Source organism: Homo sapiens, chromosome 2 (assembly GCF_000001405.40).
Source record: "Homo sapiens chromosome 2, GRCh38.p14 Primary Assembly".
NCBI classification, from domain to species: Eukaryota; Metazoa; Chordata; class Mammalia; order Primates; family Hominidae; genus Homo; species Homo sapiens.
In genome coordinates, this window is record NC_000002.12 from 176,664,046 (window position 1) to 176,680,123 (window position 16,078).

Below are 16,078 nucleotides of genomic sequence, written 5' to 3' on the forward strand. Positions count from 1 at the left end.
CACCACTCCTGATGTTACTTGTGTGAAGAAATGATTTGATATGCTCTCTCCTTAGCAGGGGGTTGGGAGGGGTGGACACTGAGGACCAGGACAGCAAAATATTATCCTCTAGTCGTATCTCAAATCTGTATCTGTCTGTGACACAGCCAATCCACTCGATCTAGTTATTTTCACAATTTTACATTAGCTCCAGTTATAGAAGCTTGAAAACATTAAAGATATTCTTTACACTGTATATAGAAAACAGATATATATATATAATTCATATATTATATGCAATATATGCATATTTAATATGATATATATATCGATCTGTCTGTCTATATATCTCTCTCACAGACAAAGGTAGAAGCAGAGATGTAAATTCAAGAAGCTCAGAGACATTATTCTGTGTCCTTTTTACTACTTTCCACAAGTAATGGTCTATATCTCCATGAGTTTTCCTTGTTTTTGGAGCCTGAATTGTGCTTTTAGAGACCCTCACTCTGAGGAGACTAACTTTAAGTTTTATTTATATTCATTAACAAGAACATAAAAGCACCCTACCGAGGACCTCTGAAAACTAAAGTTGAATGCAGTGCTCCACACCCTGCCCCTGCGTGCTTGGTTGCAGTAGTCACTTGTGGTCTAGTTTACTTAATAGCTAGAGAGGTTAGCACCCCGTTTGACAAGGATGGAAGAGTCCCTCAGGCCTGACAAATAAAATAAAAAAAATAGCTGTAAAACCAGTAAAGATTGTACTAAATGCTGTCTTGTGAAAAAAATAAAAATAAAAAAAGGATATAAAGAAAAGCCGGAGTATTCTAGCCAGCTGTCTAATTCTGGAAAATCATATAACCTCTCTGGGTCTTGTTTTCTGTGTCTATAAAAGGAGCTTGGAATTTTCTGTGATTCTAAGCAGCTGGGCATTAAGCTTATTGACGACCACACCTGTGGCACAAATGTGTTTTGGAATAGTAGTAGGTGCTGAATTTGTCAGAAATTGTTTGAATGAGGAATGGATGGATAGGGCGAGTTCTGCCCTTCAAGCCAGAAAAAGTGTGTTGACTTTTTTCACTTGAAGGCACCTGATTAGTGTATCAGAGACTAAGCCTGCCCTTCTAGCTTTGCCATGGAATCAGTCTCACTCTGGGACATGGTTCAGATCATACCATGGAAATAGTAAGGGAGCAGGACTACATTTTTGCCAAGGGGAACCCAGAGCAGTGTTATGCTTCCTTCACTGGGAGGTGGAAAATTCCATTGCAATGAGCAAGACCATCTCTCAATGCACAGGATCCACTTTGAGTCTATTTCCAGGTACCCGCCTTTGTTTGATCAAATTTGTTAAAGAGCCTCTTCCTTATGATTTGGCTTGCCAGCTAGATCCATCTACAGGGAGAGAAGAAGCTGGAGTATTTTTGTTCCTGTGACAGTTATACCTCACTGTAAATTTTTTAAAAGGAGAGTAGATTGGGCCAGGTGCAGTGGCTCACACCTGTAATCCTAGCACTTTGGGAGGCTGAGGTAGGTGGATCACGAGGTCAGGAGATTGAGACCATCTTGGCTAACATGGTGAAAACTCCGTCTCTACTAAAAATACAAAAAATTAGCCGGGCATGGTGGCAGGCACCTGTAGTCCCAGCTACTTGGGAGGCTGAGGCAGGAGAATGGCATGAACCCGGGAGGCGGAGCTTGCAGTGAGCCGAGATCACGCCACTGCACTCCAGCCTGGGTGACAGAGCGAGACTCCGTCTCAAAAAAAAAAAAAAAAAAAAAAAGAGTAGATTGTATTAGCATGGAGAGGGAATTTAAAGGGATAGAATGTACTAGAGAAACAGTGAAGGGTAGAGGAGGGGCAGAAAATTGGGCCAAAAGGGCATCACTTCGTAACCCTTAGAGAAATTTCATGGGGCATGGGAATACAAGTTGGAGGTTATTAATATGTCTGTGTTGCTGGTTTGTCCATACACACTTGGTGCAAATATCAACAGTGGATTTGCTTTATAATTAAGGTGGCATTTTGCAATTCACCTGTAATAAAGAATGTGAGTAGTTTATTAAAGATTGGTTTGTATAGTGAATAGTATTTATTGCAAATAAATAAGAAGCACAGTGGCCTCACGCAGAATGAGTAATAATCTGTTTAAAAATGGAGCTAGCATGAAATTGCTGAAGACATACCTTGATCGAGCATTATAAAATCTCTTCTTTATGGAAATATCTCTGTATTTATAGATTGACCTACTTCTGTATACTTCTAGTTGGACTTGTACTAATGATGGAAGAACTTGAACGTTTCAAAAGTTGAACAGTTTTACAGCGACTTCTGACAAGATACAAAGCATTTGGTAGTTAAGGGGGATATATACTTCTTAAAGGTCATTTTTAAACGTATTGAAACTATTAAATAAGTGTGTAGATTATATCCGTCTCTTAAACCCCAAACTAAAAATCTTCAGGAAGCATAAACACAAATTCCCTCAATCGAAAAAAGGCTGCTTAGCAGACTAAGAAGAATATAATTAAAGAAGCCCATTTTAGGCATATATGCAATTATTTTAAGATATGTTTATAATTTGCATTTAGTAGCAAGATCGGGTTATTAAGCGTACAACATACCAACCTTAGTAATCACGTTAACGAAATAAAATGTCTAGAAACTTTAGAAAGTTGATTAGTAATCTACATTTTGTACTAATTATGGAGGGGCACATTATAGCTTATAAATACACAAGATAAAAATCCCAAGTTTCTGAGTGCAAAAAAATAAACTTTCATATATTTTGACAAGCATTGCCTGGTCTGAACTATTTATAATACTTTAGAGTGTACTAGCACTTTTTTGGTAATATAAAAAGTAATAGAATCTTAGTAATATGAAGTCCCACTAGAGATATTTGCTATTAAATTGTTGCTGAGTGTGCTGAGGTTTGGGGGAGAATTATCGAGTTTGCAGATTAGCAAAGCAAGTTCTGGCAATGTTTTAAAATTGAATCAGTGATGCTTTAAAATGGGATATATTTTAAGGATTCACAATAAGAATTTAAAAATAGATGAAAAGATGGGTTTGTTATCGTCAAGCAGTGTATGTTAATTAGTGTCTATATGCAAACTAATTTTATGTTTGTCTCCAGGTTTAAGTGTATACAACAAGCAAAGGGTTAAGGGTGAGGCAGAGTTCAGGAAAGAATAATTAAAAATGAGAAGTGACATTAATTTTAAATAAGTGCTTTCCCATTTTCTGCTTTCTTTTTAATTTTTAAAAAATCTTTCCCTTTCAAGCATTAGCAGAGCTGCAAGCACAGGATGGCCCAATTTTGTGAAATTAGGCCTTTGCCCATGTTTCTAATTCAGAATTGGATGTACTTTAAATGTCCCCCTGAGTGTAGCAGCTGAGAGTCCTCTTCTCTCCTGGGTACTGTAATCTTTGGTGGGGTCACTAAAAGGAGGGATATGTCACAGGTAACCTTCTACCACTTGCTATGGGGAAGCTTTCTTTTGTGTTCTTTCAGATTTGAGTAAAGTTGCCAAACATGATAAAACTGCTTGATGATGGCAGAATTGTTAAGTCTACTCTTAACCCTGTCCACCAGTTTACCAATGAAAAGGTCAGTGGCATGCAAAGAGAGGAATTCTTTATAGCTGCCAAACAACTGGTTTAATTCACCTGTGTTCCACCCTAGAAGTACTCGGAGATAGCTACTGGAAGGTCAAGAAATAAATCCTTGTAGTTGGGAAGTCATAATTTTCAACAATCATCTTCAATTTATTTTGAAGCAATTATTTAAACCTGAATTAGTTGTTAAGTCACATATAAGATAGGTAGTTAGCTTGTATGGTATAATTATTCAAAGGTAATTTGTAATTAATTATGAAATACCTTTACTAGAAAAATAAGTCCTATATAAATTGAACTAATTTTTATGGTACTAGTAATATTACTATACCTATTAGAGGTGGAGCCTATATTAACTATTAACATTAATTAATGTTACACTAATAACATTAACATTAATAACAATTAATAACATTAATTGTTGTTACAGGATAATTTTAGATTTGCAAGGATCCTGAGAAGTTATCCAATTTAGCTTTTTACCTTCAGAGAGAATTAAGCTAAAGCTCCACCTGTTCCTTGAAAATGATTCCTTCTGCCCTAAACCTTGGAGAAGCTTTTCTTCCTTTGAATTCTGTGCTGTATCTGTGCTGGACATTTGGAATTTAGCATTGATTACTCTGTATTGCAATTTTATGTATGTGTCCTATCTCCTGAACCAAAGTGTCAGACCCTTTCAAATTAAAGACTGGAATTGAACATTTTGGCCCACTTCCCGCATATGCTAAGGCAGTGGTCTATGATGGAAGATGTTCAGTATGCACTGAGGAGATTGATCTAAATTTATCTTGAAAATCATGTTAGTCCTTAACAATCTTCTCTTGGTATTTGATCAACAACTTGAATTAGAAAGTATCAGAGATGTTTGGGACATTAGATATACTCTAATCTAATCCCTGTTTTACAGATCACAAAACTGAGTAAGGGCCAGAGAGCAAAATCAATTGCCTAAGACACATTGCTGGTTAGTCGACAAGAACCCTCTTTTTAGGATGCCATCTGATATTAATACCAATGTGTATGCCCTACATTAGGGTCTAACTTCACAGGTAGACTCTTCTCTCCTTAGGTTTGTTCATTTGAATGAATGAATGGTTCCTTATAAATGTCTGAGGTGCCAGACCAGTGTTCTTTCTTTGTATATTCATAGATTAGCAGCAGCTTATAATGCTGCAGATATATTCTGCTACTAGCCAGTGGCCCTGGAACCTAATTTACAATATCCGGGTATTCTGTATTCCCTTGAACATGTGATTTTTTTTCCCTTTGAATTCTATGTTTTTTGGATTGCTCATGGTGGAAGGTTTGGGACATAAATCATCATCATTTGCTACTGATCCAATTTGGGAAAACTAGGTCAGTGAATTGTACATCTGTATTAGTTGCTGTGGAAGGACCATTTTAAGCATTCTCAGACATGTAGCTAAGCAAGTCTGGGGCTCTCTGACATTACATAATTTCTCTGCTAAACCAAAGATCTCATTGAGTTTGCTGTTCAGCCATGTCTTATGTTGGATTAGGGGTATATTTGTTCAAAGCTCAGTTTCATCATTTGTCCAGCTTCACAGTATTTCCCCAGATAGGGAGGCTGCCTTCCAGGCTTGGCTGGTTTTTCCTATATTGCTGGGAAAGTTTTCAGTGAATGAATACAATGTAGAGTTTTCATTTGTCACCATGTTATCTCATTTCTAATTTTTGTTCAAGTTATTTTAAGGAAAAGCACCACCCAGTTTCTCTGACCAACTTTTAAAAAAAGATGAAAAGATTTTCTCAGCATGAATAATAGCAACAAGCACATGATGGTCTAAGCTTTTGAACTCTCAGACAGCTGGAGTGCCCAGAATCAGAGTGATTTTCTTCAACCACTTTAGTGCACTGTGAATGTGTGATCGGAGTAGAGTGTGTGATCTTAAACAGTCCTGGTGTCGTGTGGGGAGTTTCCATTCCTTCACTAAATAGACTTCCTGGTTTGAAATTAGCGTCTCATCATGACAAACAGGACCATGTACAGGGAGGTCAGCAGGGGCCTTTCCTGTCATTTGAAACGTGCCCTTGGTTTTGCTTCCCCTAACCCCAGTGCCTTGGAATGCTGTTTGAATCTGGGGATCAAGTGATTCTAAAGTCTCTCCAGGAAAGGAGAATTCAATGAAGCATTCAGCAGCAAAAACTTGGTTAAAAGTGCAGCCTGTGTCAGCATAGGAATGAATTAGAAACAGACTGTGAAAACCTCACCTGTGATCAGTATCACACCCAGAAAGTTGGAGACATCAGGAGGACATGTTCTATGTTTTCACTACCTTGTTGCAGGCAGTCATGAGAGTGATAGGAGGTCACTGTGACTTGTAGTTGTAGGTCCCATTTACTTTCAGGAGAGCAGGCTGAGAGGCTAAGTTCTGTGGTCCGTTGATTATCTTACCTTGGCTTTTCATAACCTGGCAGTTTCCAAAAATAGTTTGAGGACTAACAGAATTGCTAACTACCTCCCACCTCACTCCTGTAAAGACAGTGAACACAACCAGTCTCTTTTTTCCTTTGTTTCATACAAGAAGGGAAATTTTTATACTATAATATGAGAAGACTATAATCTAAAAATAAAATCTTTCTTAAGAAAATTTCCTCATTTTGCTCTGGACCTGTGAAAATGTTTGCACAGACCTGCCTTTGGGAAATCACTTCTCTAGGATGAGCAACATTACGAAATTCCCTCTGTATGGCCATAGCATAGCTTTGTTCCTAGCTCCGGCTAACTTTCTTTGTGGCTGATGCTTTTTAAAGAATTCTGGTTGAATGTCACTTAGTACTGGCTGGAACTTTGTTCAGTAGTTTTGGTAGATGCTGCTGGTATTATCATAATTCATTCATTCACTTGCTTATTTAACAAACTGCCAGACCCAGGCTATGTACTGAAGAGATAAAACAAAATAAACTCACTATTCTCAAGGAGCTTGAAACTCCTTTTCAAGAATCTTATTTAAAAATTTTTAAAAGTCTCTCTTTGTGCCATGAGGGCTTGTGTAGAACACAAGCAGAAGTTGTGAAATGAGTATTTATCTATAGATCCTAAATAAAGGTTTATTGGAGATTTCTCTCTCTACCTCTTTTTTTCTCTGTACTATTCAAAGAAACCTTGTTTCTGATAAGGTAAGGTAGAAGTTAACTAGATAAAGTTCTGACAATGAAATTTAAATTACAGGTTCTAGTGTGATTTTGGCACATCAAAACCCAAAGAACATTTAGAATGTGCCCAGCCCATGGAATCTATTCCTTTGATCTACTCAGCTCACCAAGATGATTGTTCAGCCCTCCCCCACTTTCTCTCAAAATATCTCAACCACTAACAACAGCAACAATAAATAAAAAGGAAAGGAGGAAAGAAGAAAAATCTCCTTAGGGGCATAAATTATTTTCATTTGCTTTCTGCAATGACAAAATTAAGAAAACACCAAATAGCTACATTACTTTGCATTGGGTAAACCTCCAGCCTTCAATTGCTAGGTAACATTTCTTGCAGCTGCTGAGGCTAAGAAACTAGTTTTGCTTTGAATAGATTTGGTGTATATTCAAAATCCTACTCGGTGAAATCCAGTTGTTTGTGAGCTTAAAATTGAAAGGCTTTGTATGCTTTTCTTTGAAATCAGGACCCATTTCAAAGGCATATTACTCACTGGATAAATTGCTGGTTCACAGTTCCAAACCAAAATCAAAGGGGTCTGCAGGCAACTTTGACACTGTCAAGTACCTGGAACTGTGCTGCTATGTGATGAACATTAAGTAAATGTTTGCTTAATGAATGAATGCATGGACTCAATTAATGATCATATCAGCTTGCATTTGTATATTGCTTTATAATTTGTAAAGTGATTTCACATCTATATTCACTATAACAGTTTGAATAAAGAAGAAATTAACTTCACATGTTGGATTCTGCTTTAAAGCTTTAAAGCCACTGATAAGTCGTTGGCTTAACGTGAATATTAATTATTTAACTAATAAAGTAAAAATAAGCTAGGGATCAAAACAGTGGTTTAAAAGATTATGCTACTATTATTTTTATACAATCTGGGGCAGAGTTGATCCTTAAACCAGAATTCCACCTCCAATGAATGTTTACTGTTGTGTGATTGTGGGTGTGTGTGTGTGTGTGTGTGTGTGTGTGTGTGTGTGTGTAAACACAGGCATGTATACTGTAGCTTTTCTGTTTTCTCCAGAAATGTAACCAAAAAATCTAGAGAGAAACAATCAAATATTTATACCAGAGCTTTGGTGCAAGTAGCTAAGATACCAGCCACTGACCCAGCTGGACAGTAGCCTTTTATTTTTTCCTTATTTGGAGCCATGGCCTTGACCTGGCTGAATGTCAGTAAAAGTAGTGTTAGGCAATGCTCCCAAATAATTCATCTAAGGACCCCAAAGCTGGCCCTTCCATACAACTCTTCTTCTTTGCAAAGGCTATAGATCACAGAAAGGCTTCCTTGAGAAATGAGGGGCAAAACAAATCAAATCAAAACACAAAACAGATAGCACCTCTCTTTGGGTTCCTGGACACCCCAGCTCTCAATTTTGTTTCAAGAGCTCAGACATCAGTCCTGATCATAAATTGCTGTAAATTCTAAGATTTCTCATAGAAAACAGTAGTTTGGCTACCTTAGATAAGTATTACATGAGGCTTGGTGAATGTTGAGTTAGTAGTAAATTACTGAATTCCTTGTTTTTCTTGTTGTTCTTGTTGTTGTTTATTTGTTTTCTTGGATAGCTTTATTTGTTAAATATACAGTAAAATGGTGTTATAATGAATTCACAGAGAGATTACAAAAAAAAAAAAGATTCCTGCATAAATTGCCAGGTATAGTGAGTCATGCCTGTAATCCCAGCACTTTGGGAAGCTGAGGTGGGAGGATTGCTTGAGCCTAGGAGTTCAAGACCAGCCTGGGCAACATAGGGAGACCCTGTCTCAAAAAATTAAAAAAAAAAAATAGCTGGGCATGGTGGTGCACCTGTGGTCCCAGCTACTAAAGAGGCTGAGGCCTATCCAAAAAAAAAAAAAAAGCCTAAGTTCTTGAGAAGATGTGTTCCTATTTGTGTTCATGTACCTTTTAATTCCTGCCTCAGATTCCCTGAGTTCACAATCCTGAAGTATCCCCAGGCCCAGGCCACAGTCAAGCTCCTCAGGATCTTATTGTCTCAAACTTAAATGCAAAGGAGACTAAAAATAAAAGATTGAAAGAGAACTAGAAGCCAGGCGGTAGTCAGCGAAAAAACATTTGGACTTCCTAGAGACCTTTGTTTATCAACATGCTCATGAAACTTGCAAAGAAAGTCATTTTAAAGCTCATATCAAGAGGGATTGTGATTAGTAGGAGCAAAGTATAGAAGCAGGGGAGTTGGCATTCAGGTTCCTGTTCTGCTGCCTAATAACTGAGTACCATTAAACAAATCACTTAATCCCTTTGAGCCTCAGTTTCCTTTTATGGAAATAGGTATGCTCATACGACATCACAGGTTTTGTGAAGACAAGATGAAATAATTACAGGAAAAGTCTTTATAAAGTGATGTCAAAACAGGTGCTATTACCAGTGGTAATACTTTTATAACAGTATGTTTTTTATTATAAAAATAATTTTTATTGCAGCAAAATTTTACAGTTATGTGAGTTGTAATGTGCTGACCACACAACTGAGGGATTCTGCAGTATCTGCAGATCCTTAAATGTCTAAAGCATCTGCCTGATGTTGCTGGGATTTGCTGCCATGCCTGTTTAGAAACTCTGTTTTGGAGCTCTGGGTCACTACAGACTGCCCATAGTGCTTACATTCCAGGGGCCACTTAAAGAGATTCCACCGAAAGATTTCTTAGAAGTAACCCTGCCAGCAAAATTCCAGATGCCTATAAAATCTGTGGCACAGCCTGTGTGCTGGAAAGAGACCACTGGGATGGAAATCAGGGGACAGAGCCTTAGTGTTAATCCTCTGTTAACTCTTCATGGTCCTGGACCTCAGTTTTCTCATCTGCAAAATGACCAGTTTGAACTAGATATTCTTTGAGGTAGATTCCACGTGCAGCGTTTAAAAGTCTTTGCTCAGTCTGTTGTTTCAGTGGGCTCTTCAAGCACCAACAGGGGCCAATCAGGAAGGTAGGACCTGCCTGATGTCAACTCAGGGCACGTCCCACAATATTTCCAGGTGTCTTCAGGAATATGGAGCACCACTGTCACCCCGTGTCACCTGTAAGATGGGAGAAGGGAACCCAGTCAATAAAGATTATGAGGAGGGCCGGGCACGGAGGCTCACGCCTGTAATCCCAGCACTTTGGGAGGCCAAGGTGGGCAGATCACTGGGTCAGGAGTTTGAGACCAGCCTGGCCAAAATGGTGAAACCTCCATCTCTACTACAAATACAAAAATTAGCTGGGCATGGTGGTGGGCGCCTGTAATCCCAGCTACTTGGGAGGCTCGGGAAGGAGAATTGCTTGAACCTGGGAGGTGGAGGTTGCAGTGAGCAGGAGTTGCAGTGAGCCGAGATCGTACCATTGCACTCCAGCATGGGCAACGAGCAAAACTCCATCTCAAAAAAAAAAAAAAAAAAAAAAGAGATGTTGAGGAAACTGTTGCCCAGTTTCAAATGTCTCCATTTTTCTCATTTCCCTGGGTGGATGGGAAGAAAACCATAAATATGTCTAGGAAGCCAGAAATATGAATTGGTTACAGATTTTTTTCTCTAAGAGGATAATTAGATAGATTGAATGTAAAATATAGTACTAAATGGGTAAGGGTACCATAGAGAAGCATCTGTTGGGAAGGACCAGAATTGCTTTTGTGTCTAACGAGAACAGAAATATGTTTCAGGGCATTTGAATGTTGCTTCAGACAATAGGTTTCAGCCTATATGAAGCCCTTGGAGTGTTCAGGAATGAAAAGTTCTTCAATGGAGTGCCTAAATGCTAACATACAGATTTAATGTTGGGGTTCTTCAACTCACAATCAGCACCAGTCTTGACACTGATTAAAGCAAACGTTTATAGGGGATTTGGACTTTGCCAGTATTTGCCCAGTCAGGGCAATTTATTGAACTTTTGGGTCAGCTTTTGTAATGACACAATAAGGAATAAAATCTTGTTCTCTTAAACTTGTCATCAAGAATATTTGCTCTCAGAATGTTGTGTGAAATATTAAAATGTGATCCATTATTAAAATAAAATGGTTTTGCTTTCACTTTACTGTGAGAGAAGTATATATCAAGCTCTGAAAGACTTGAGTGCTAAAAAACAAGGGGTGATTAAAAATGAATTCTTAAAAGCATAAGAAATCTAAAAAGTGGATTTCTTTAGAACGTAATGAAATATAGGTTGAAAAGGTAACTTGCCAAAATGACACTGCTCTTATTACTGGAAGAGACTTCCTGGGTGAATCAGTAATATATGATTTTAAAAAAATTAAAGGGAGGCTGATGTACTGACGTTAAATTCCACACAAATATTCTGGTTATTGAATAGTAATTTATTGTAGTTTTACTGGAAATTTTCTCCTCTTAGTTCTTAAAAGGTTTTCCAGGCTCAATTAGCACCTTTCCTCCTAATAATCAATATTGATTTTACTGTATTCATTTTAGATTTTAAAAATTTTGCCTAAAACTCAAATCTTAACTATTTTTACAGTAACATATTTCATTAAAAAAAATCAGGCTTAGCGGGTAGGCCTGCATTGCCATCTGAAAAATGATACATTTTCATTTATTTGAGGTGGGATCTTAAATTCAGAGAAGTAGTTACAGTTCTGGGTAATATGAGCTCTCTCTGGATTTAGAACTGTTGACAAGATGTTAATTGAGAATATGTGCATCATTTTCCAGTATCTTCTTAAAATTGAGTGGTTAATTTTAATAATATTGCAGCTTCTGTTTTTAACCTGCCTATGCATCTCTGTACTTCAGTATACTCAATGTTTCTAGGAGCTGATTATGTTGGTTTCACAGGGCACATTGCCTGACGGGGGACCATGGAGGTGGCCCCCAATGTGTTATGATATGTTCTCATGGGGAGAGTGAGCGACAGTCAGGGGTGATTCCTGTTCATTCAGTGTGCTGTGAAGTGAGCCGGAATTACCTGCTTTTCTACATTACTCACTTTTCCCCTCAAATGACAAGCTTTCTCCGACAACATGGGACCCATTGCGTCTGGAAAACACACACTTCACCCAAACACTTCCATTAACTCCTGTAAATTGTTTTGTGTAAATGTTTCCTGTGGTTTTTCATGCAGCATTCAATTTCATCTTCTTTTGAAATTGAAAAGGTCAGTTTTGTGGTTGTTTTTAGCATTCACTAGTAGAAAATTAAAAAGATTTCTAAGGACTACCTTTTCCAGTCACACATTTTACCAACATTTGAGCTACTGCCTTGGGTTGGCCAGGAAATGTCTGCCGCCACATTAGCGATGTGATAATGGGCTTCACATATCACCTGGACATTAATAGAATGAAATCACTTACTGCTCCTGAAAGCAGCTTTGTTCTCAGCGGGTGTCCTGAAGGCACTGCATGAGCACAATGGACCTTCTATCACAGAGGTGAAAGTCAGAAATAACCTAAACCCATCTTTATCTCGGGTGTGTGTGTGTGTGTGTGTGTGTGTGTGTGTGTGTATGTGTGTGCGTGTGTTTCATCTTTATTTAATGAGTCCACTGATATTTGATGGAAATGACCAAAATTCAGCTAGTTGCATAAAGTATTTCTGGGTCTCCAATCTGCTCTGATCTGTGACATGCAAAACTTCTAATGACTGGGGACCCCTAACTCAGCTGCAATAGCCCATCAAAGGTGCAACTTTATTCTCTCATAACAGCTTTGTAATGTGATCAGCAGACATATCTGTTAACTTTTCCCTGAGCTGTGCAGATGTGGCTATAAAAGAGGCACTATGCCGTTGTGTCTTTCCTACTTTCCTTCAGAAATGAATTTGCTTTTTGATTATGGCAGAATGGCTGCCATATAAATTTTCTGTGTAAATTTTTCCTTATAAATTAAGTGCACATCCACTTAAAGCCCAATCAATGAAAATTGGGAACTACAAAATAAGAATGATTCAGAATTATTATTAGCTTTATAGAAATGCTCTTTGCTTTGCAAAGGTATTTGCCATAGAATTCTATAAATAAAAGGCATCTTTTGTGCATTTATGTCATTCTTCAATTAATCAAAATTAGTATTTTTCTGATAGATACCTGTTACATAAAGTAAAACATGGACATTATTAAATAGTTAGCCTTGTGATTTGTGTGTGTATGTGTGTGTGTGTGTGTGTGTGTGTGTGTGTGTGTGTGTGGTTTTAATGAGTGGAGAGTTTAATAGGCAAGAAAGATGGGAGAAGGCAGAAGATAGAAGCTCCCCCGTTCAGAGACAGAGGGAGCGGGGCTCCAAAGTCAAGAGAGGGAACCTGGATTTTTTTTGGTTTTGGGAAAAAGTGTAAACTGGGAGTTGATTTGCCATATGATAGGTTTATTTAAAACTTGGACACACATTTTAACTGAAAAAAAAATCAGGCTTTGAATTATTTTTTACAAAAATAAAATGTGTGGTTTCTAAATTTTAGTTTTGAGTTTTTAACCTATTTCTCCTCTGAGGAATATGGGCTTGTGACTAGCATACGTTCTTCATATCACATTCAAAGTCAAATCTGGTTTTTCTAGCAATCACATGGATAGGCATAAACAGATAAATAGTCACCGCACTCCATTGACTGCCATGGCTCATTTTTCATCTTTTGAAATAAAAGCCCAAGAGAATTTTTGTCAGGCTAAATTGGAGATTAAAAAAAAGGTTCTGTTTTGAAGTAGATACTTTGAACATGGCAGATTTGTGAGAAATTTTCTTTTGCCTTTGATGCCTTTTAAGATCTAGAAGGCTCTACAAAATTAGAATTTTGGTTGCAGAAAGAGTGTTCATCTAATCCTAAATTAAAGAACTGCTTTTGAGCCAGGGCTGGAGTTGTTTTGGCTTTTGTAATTTCAGGTATATTATCAAGTTTAACACTAAATTTAAACATTATAAATTAGTTGACTTTTCCCTTAATTAGCCACAGCTATGTTCCCATAGAAAAGCTGAAAATATGAAGTTACGTTTTCCTCTAAAGGAGTCTAATTACATTATTATCTGAAATAATACCTCCTTAACGATTCTTTGAACAGTACTCCCTATGTTTTCTTCCACTATGCAGACTTTTCATAAATAACAGTCTACATCAAGACAAACAGTACATTCAGCAAGCTGAAGAAAGCAAATGAACCAACCCTCTGTATTCATAACATGCTTCTGGACCCCTTTAATGTGGAATTCACAATAGATGTATACAGTGTTCATTGGGGTATTTTAATATTTTTTCATACAATGCTATCCATCAAAAATGCAAAGAAGGCAAATTACTCACAAGGAAGAAACTGAAGAAGCCCAGAAATACTGAGCTATGTAGGATGACATCATGAGGCTAAAATATGCAGCAAATACTAACAATAATACTACTAGCTACTAATAAAGCAAATACAATCACCAGATCAGTGGTTGTATTAAAAATGGGCCTTCTCATTTAAGGCCAAAAAAAAAAAAAAAAAAAAAAAAAAAAAGACCCTATCCATTCTGACCTATCTTCCTTATTCAGAACAAAACAATGCTTCTAGAAAATCCCTCTAGACATTTTAAATCCCACATAAGATATCCCGGAATAAAAGAGCATTACGTGGACTTCTGGATGGCACAGCTACAGAATTATTATCCGTTGCATTATAAGGAATGACTTCCCCTCTAGTCCAGGGTTCATTTTTTCCCCCATAATCAATGTTTAACTCATCATGACAGTTTAGTGAGGCCAAATGTGTCAGTTTTACTTTTCCAAAGGAATTCTGTTCAGGGAATTACATTGAACATGGTGACATGCATTGCTTTTTAATACAAGTTTCTTTATTTCTGAAATTCAATTTTATTCTATATTTATGCATTTCTTTAAGGACTACTTGAGTTCACTAAAAGATAAATAAATAAAAATGCTTATACGTGCTACATGCCATGGACCTGTGGGCATAAATAACACAATGTGAATGCAGATACACATCCTTTTCCCATTTGTTTCCATTCTCGGTGCCAACTTTGGTTCAATAAACAATGACTTTCAACTTGGTATGAAGGAAGCATCTAGTACGTAATGCACAGAGCTGTGCCCCTCCAAAGAATGAAACCCTTCAGAATGGCTAAGGGTGAGAATAGAACCGAAGCTGATGAGAGCAGAATACAAAACACGAGCAGTTTCAAATTCACCTGAGGGGACAGCAGCAACTATGGCTGAGTCAGGGAAATATTTTCAAGCAGAGTTTTGCTGATCACTTTTACACCCATGAGCAGTAATCAGTCTAGATGATATTTATGAAATGAGCATTGAAATGGTCACAGAATTGAGCAAGAGCTGAGATTGGCTGATTGATTCCTTATGGCATATGTTCCTTAGTTTCTCCAGCAAGAAAATGGAAGCATTAATTCTTTCCATATCTCTCAAAAGCATGTTTCAAGGATTAAAGAATTCAGAGTGGCAAAGGATCAAATTACCATTTATGTAGGACTCTTTCTAACCAGCAGGGCATCATGTAGTACACTGGAAGAGCTTATTTATTGAATCCGCAATTGAATTGGCTTCAGAGAGTTAATACAACATCCAAGGTGACAAATTGACTCACTACAAATGAATTGCATTAGTTCCATTATTTGTAAAGCACTTTACCATCTGGGAAGAAAGTTGTAGTATAAATTCCATTCTTTTCAGTATCTTAGCTAAGGAGGTTCCAAAGAAACTGGCTCAACATTTTATGAGCCAGAAAAGTGAGGTTTTTTTCTTCTATTAATTTGCTAAGTGTTCTCTGCCCCATGGTTTTAACACAGGAAAGACAGCAGGTGGCAGAGGGTGCTGGCAAAGGAAAAGAGGTGGTTTTGCAAATTTGGAGTTGATTCTGGCTCAAAACAGGGGTGCCGAGTTAATAATCAGAAGAATCATTTAGTTGAGACTTACCTCCAGAACAGAGAGCATCTCAAAATTTTAGCAGATTCAGCATAGTCTCAGAGTTCCAAAATCTTAGGTTCCTTTCCTCAAAGCATTCCACAGAGACAATATTATGTAACGTCAGGTACATATACTTGGAATTCCAGTGATGTGAGTTTGAGCCACAGTGCCCTCATTGTTCAGTTTGACTTCAGCCAAATTAATTTTACCTCTCTGAGCCTCAGTGATATTCCCTGTAAAATGGGAATAAGAATGGTATCATGTTAGAGGGTTATGGTAAGATAAAATATGATAATGCACGTAAGGCTTCTAGCATGGTGCTTGTGCATTGTAAACCCTCACCAAGTGTTCACTCTTATTGCTGTCATCAAAAGTGTGACCCCAAGTGTCCGCTTCACTAAAAACAGTGCCCAGAGTGGTCTGGGAGAGTCCAGTAGACAATAATTCAACT

General features: G+C 37.6%; 1 long non-coding RNA gene and 1 pseudogene across 1 annotated transcript; one reads left to right on the forward strand and one right to left on the reverse strand.

The window, feature by feature from the left end:
* RNU6ATAC14P (RNA, U6atac small nuclear 14, pseudogene) lies at positions 631 to 721 on the forward strand (annotated as a pseudogene).
* On the reverse strand, positions 9,179 to 15,713 carry LOC105369143 (uncharacterized). The gene is made up of 2 exons (XR_001739797.2): positions 15,637 to 15,713; positions 9,179 to 9,819 (listed from the first exon to the last, which is right to left on the reverse strand). It is a non-coding gene; the product is annotated as an uncharacterized LOC105369143 (long non-coding RNA).
* Positions 15,714 to 16,078: the final 365 nt, after the last annotated feature.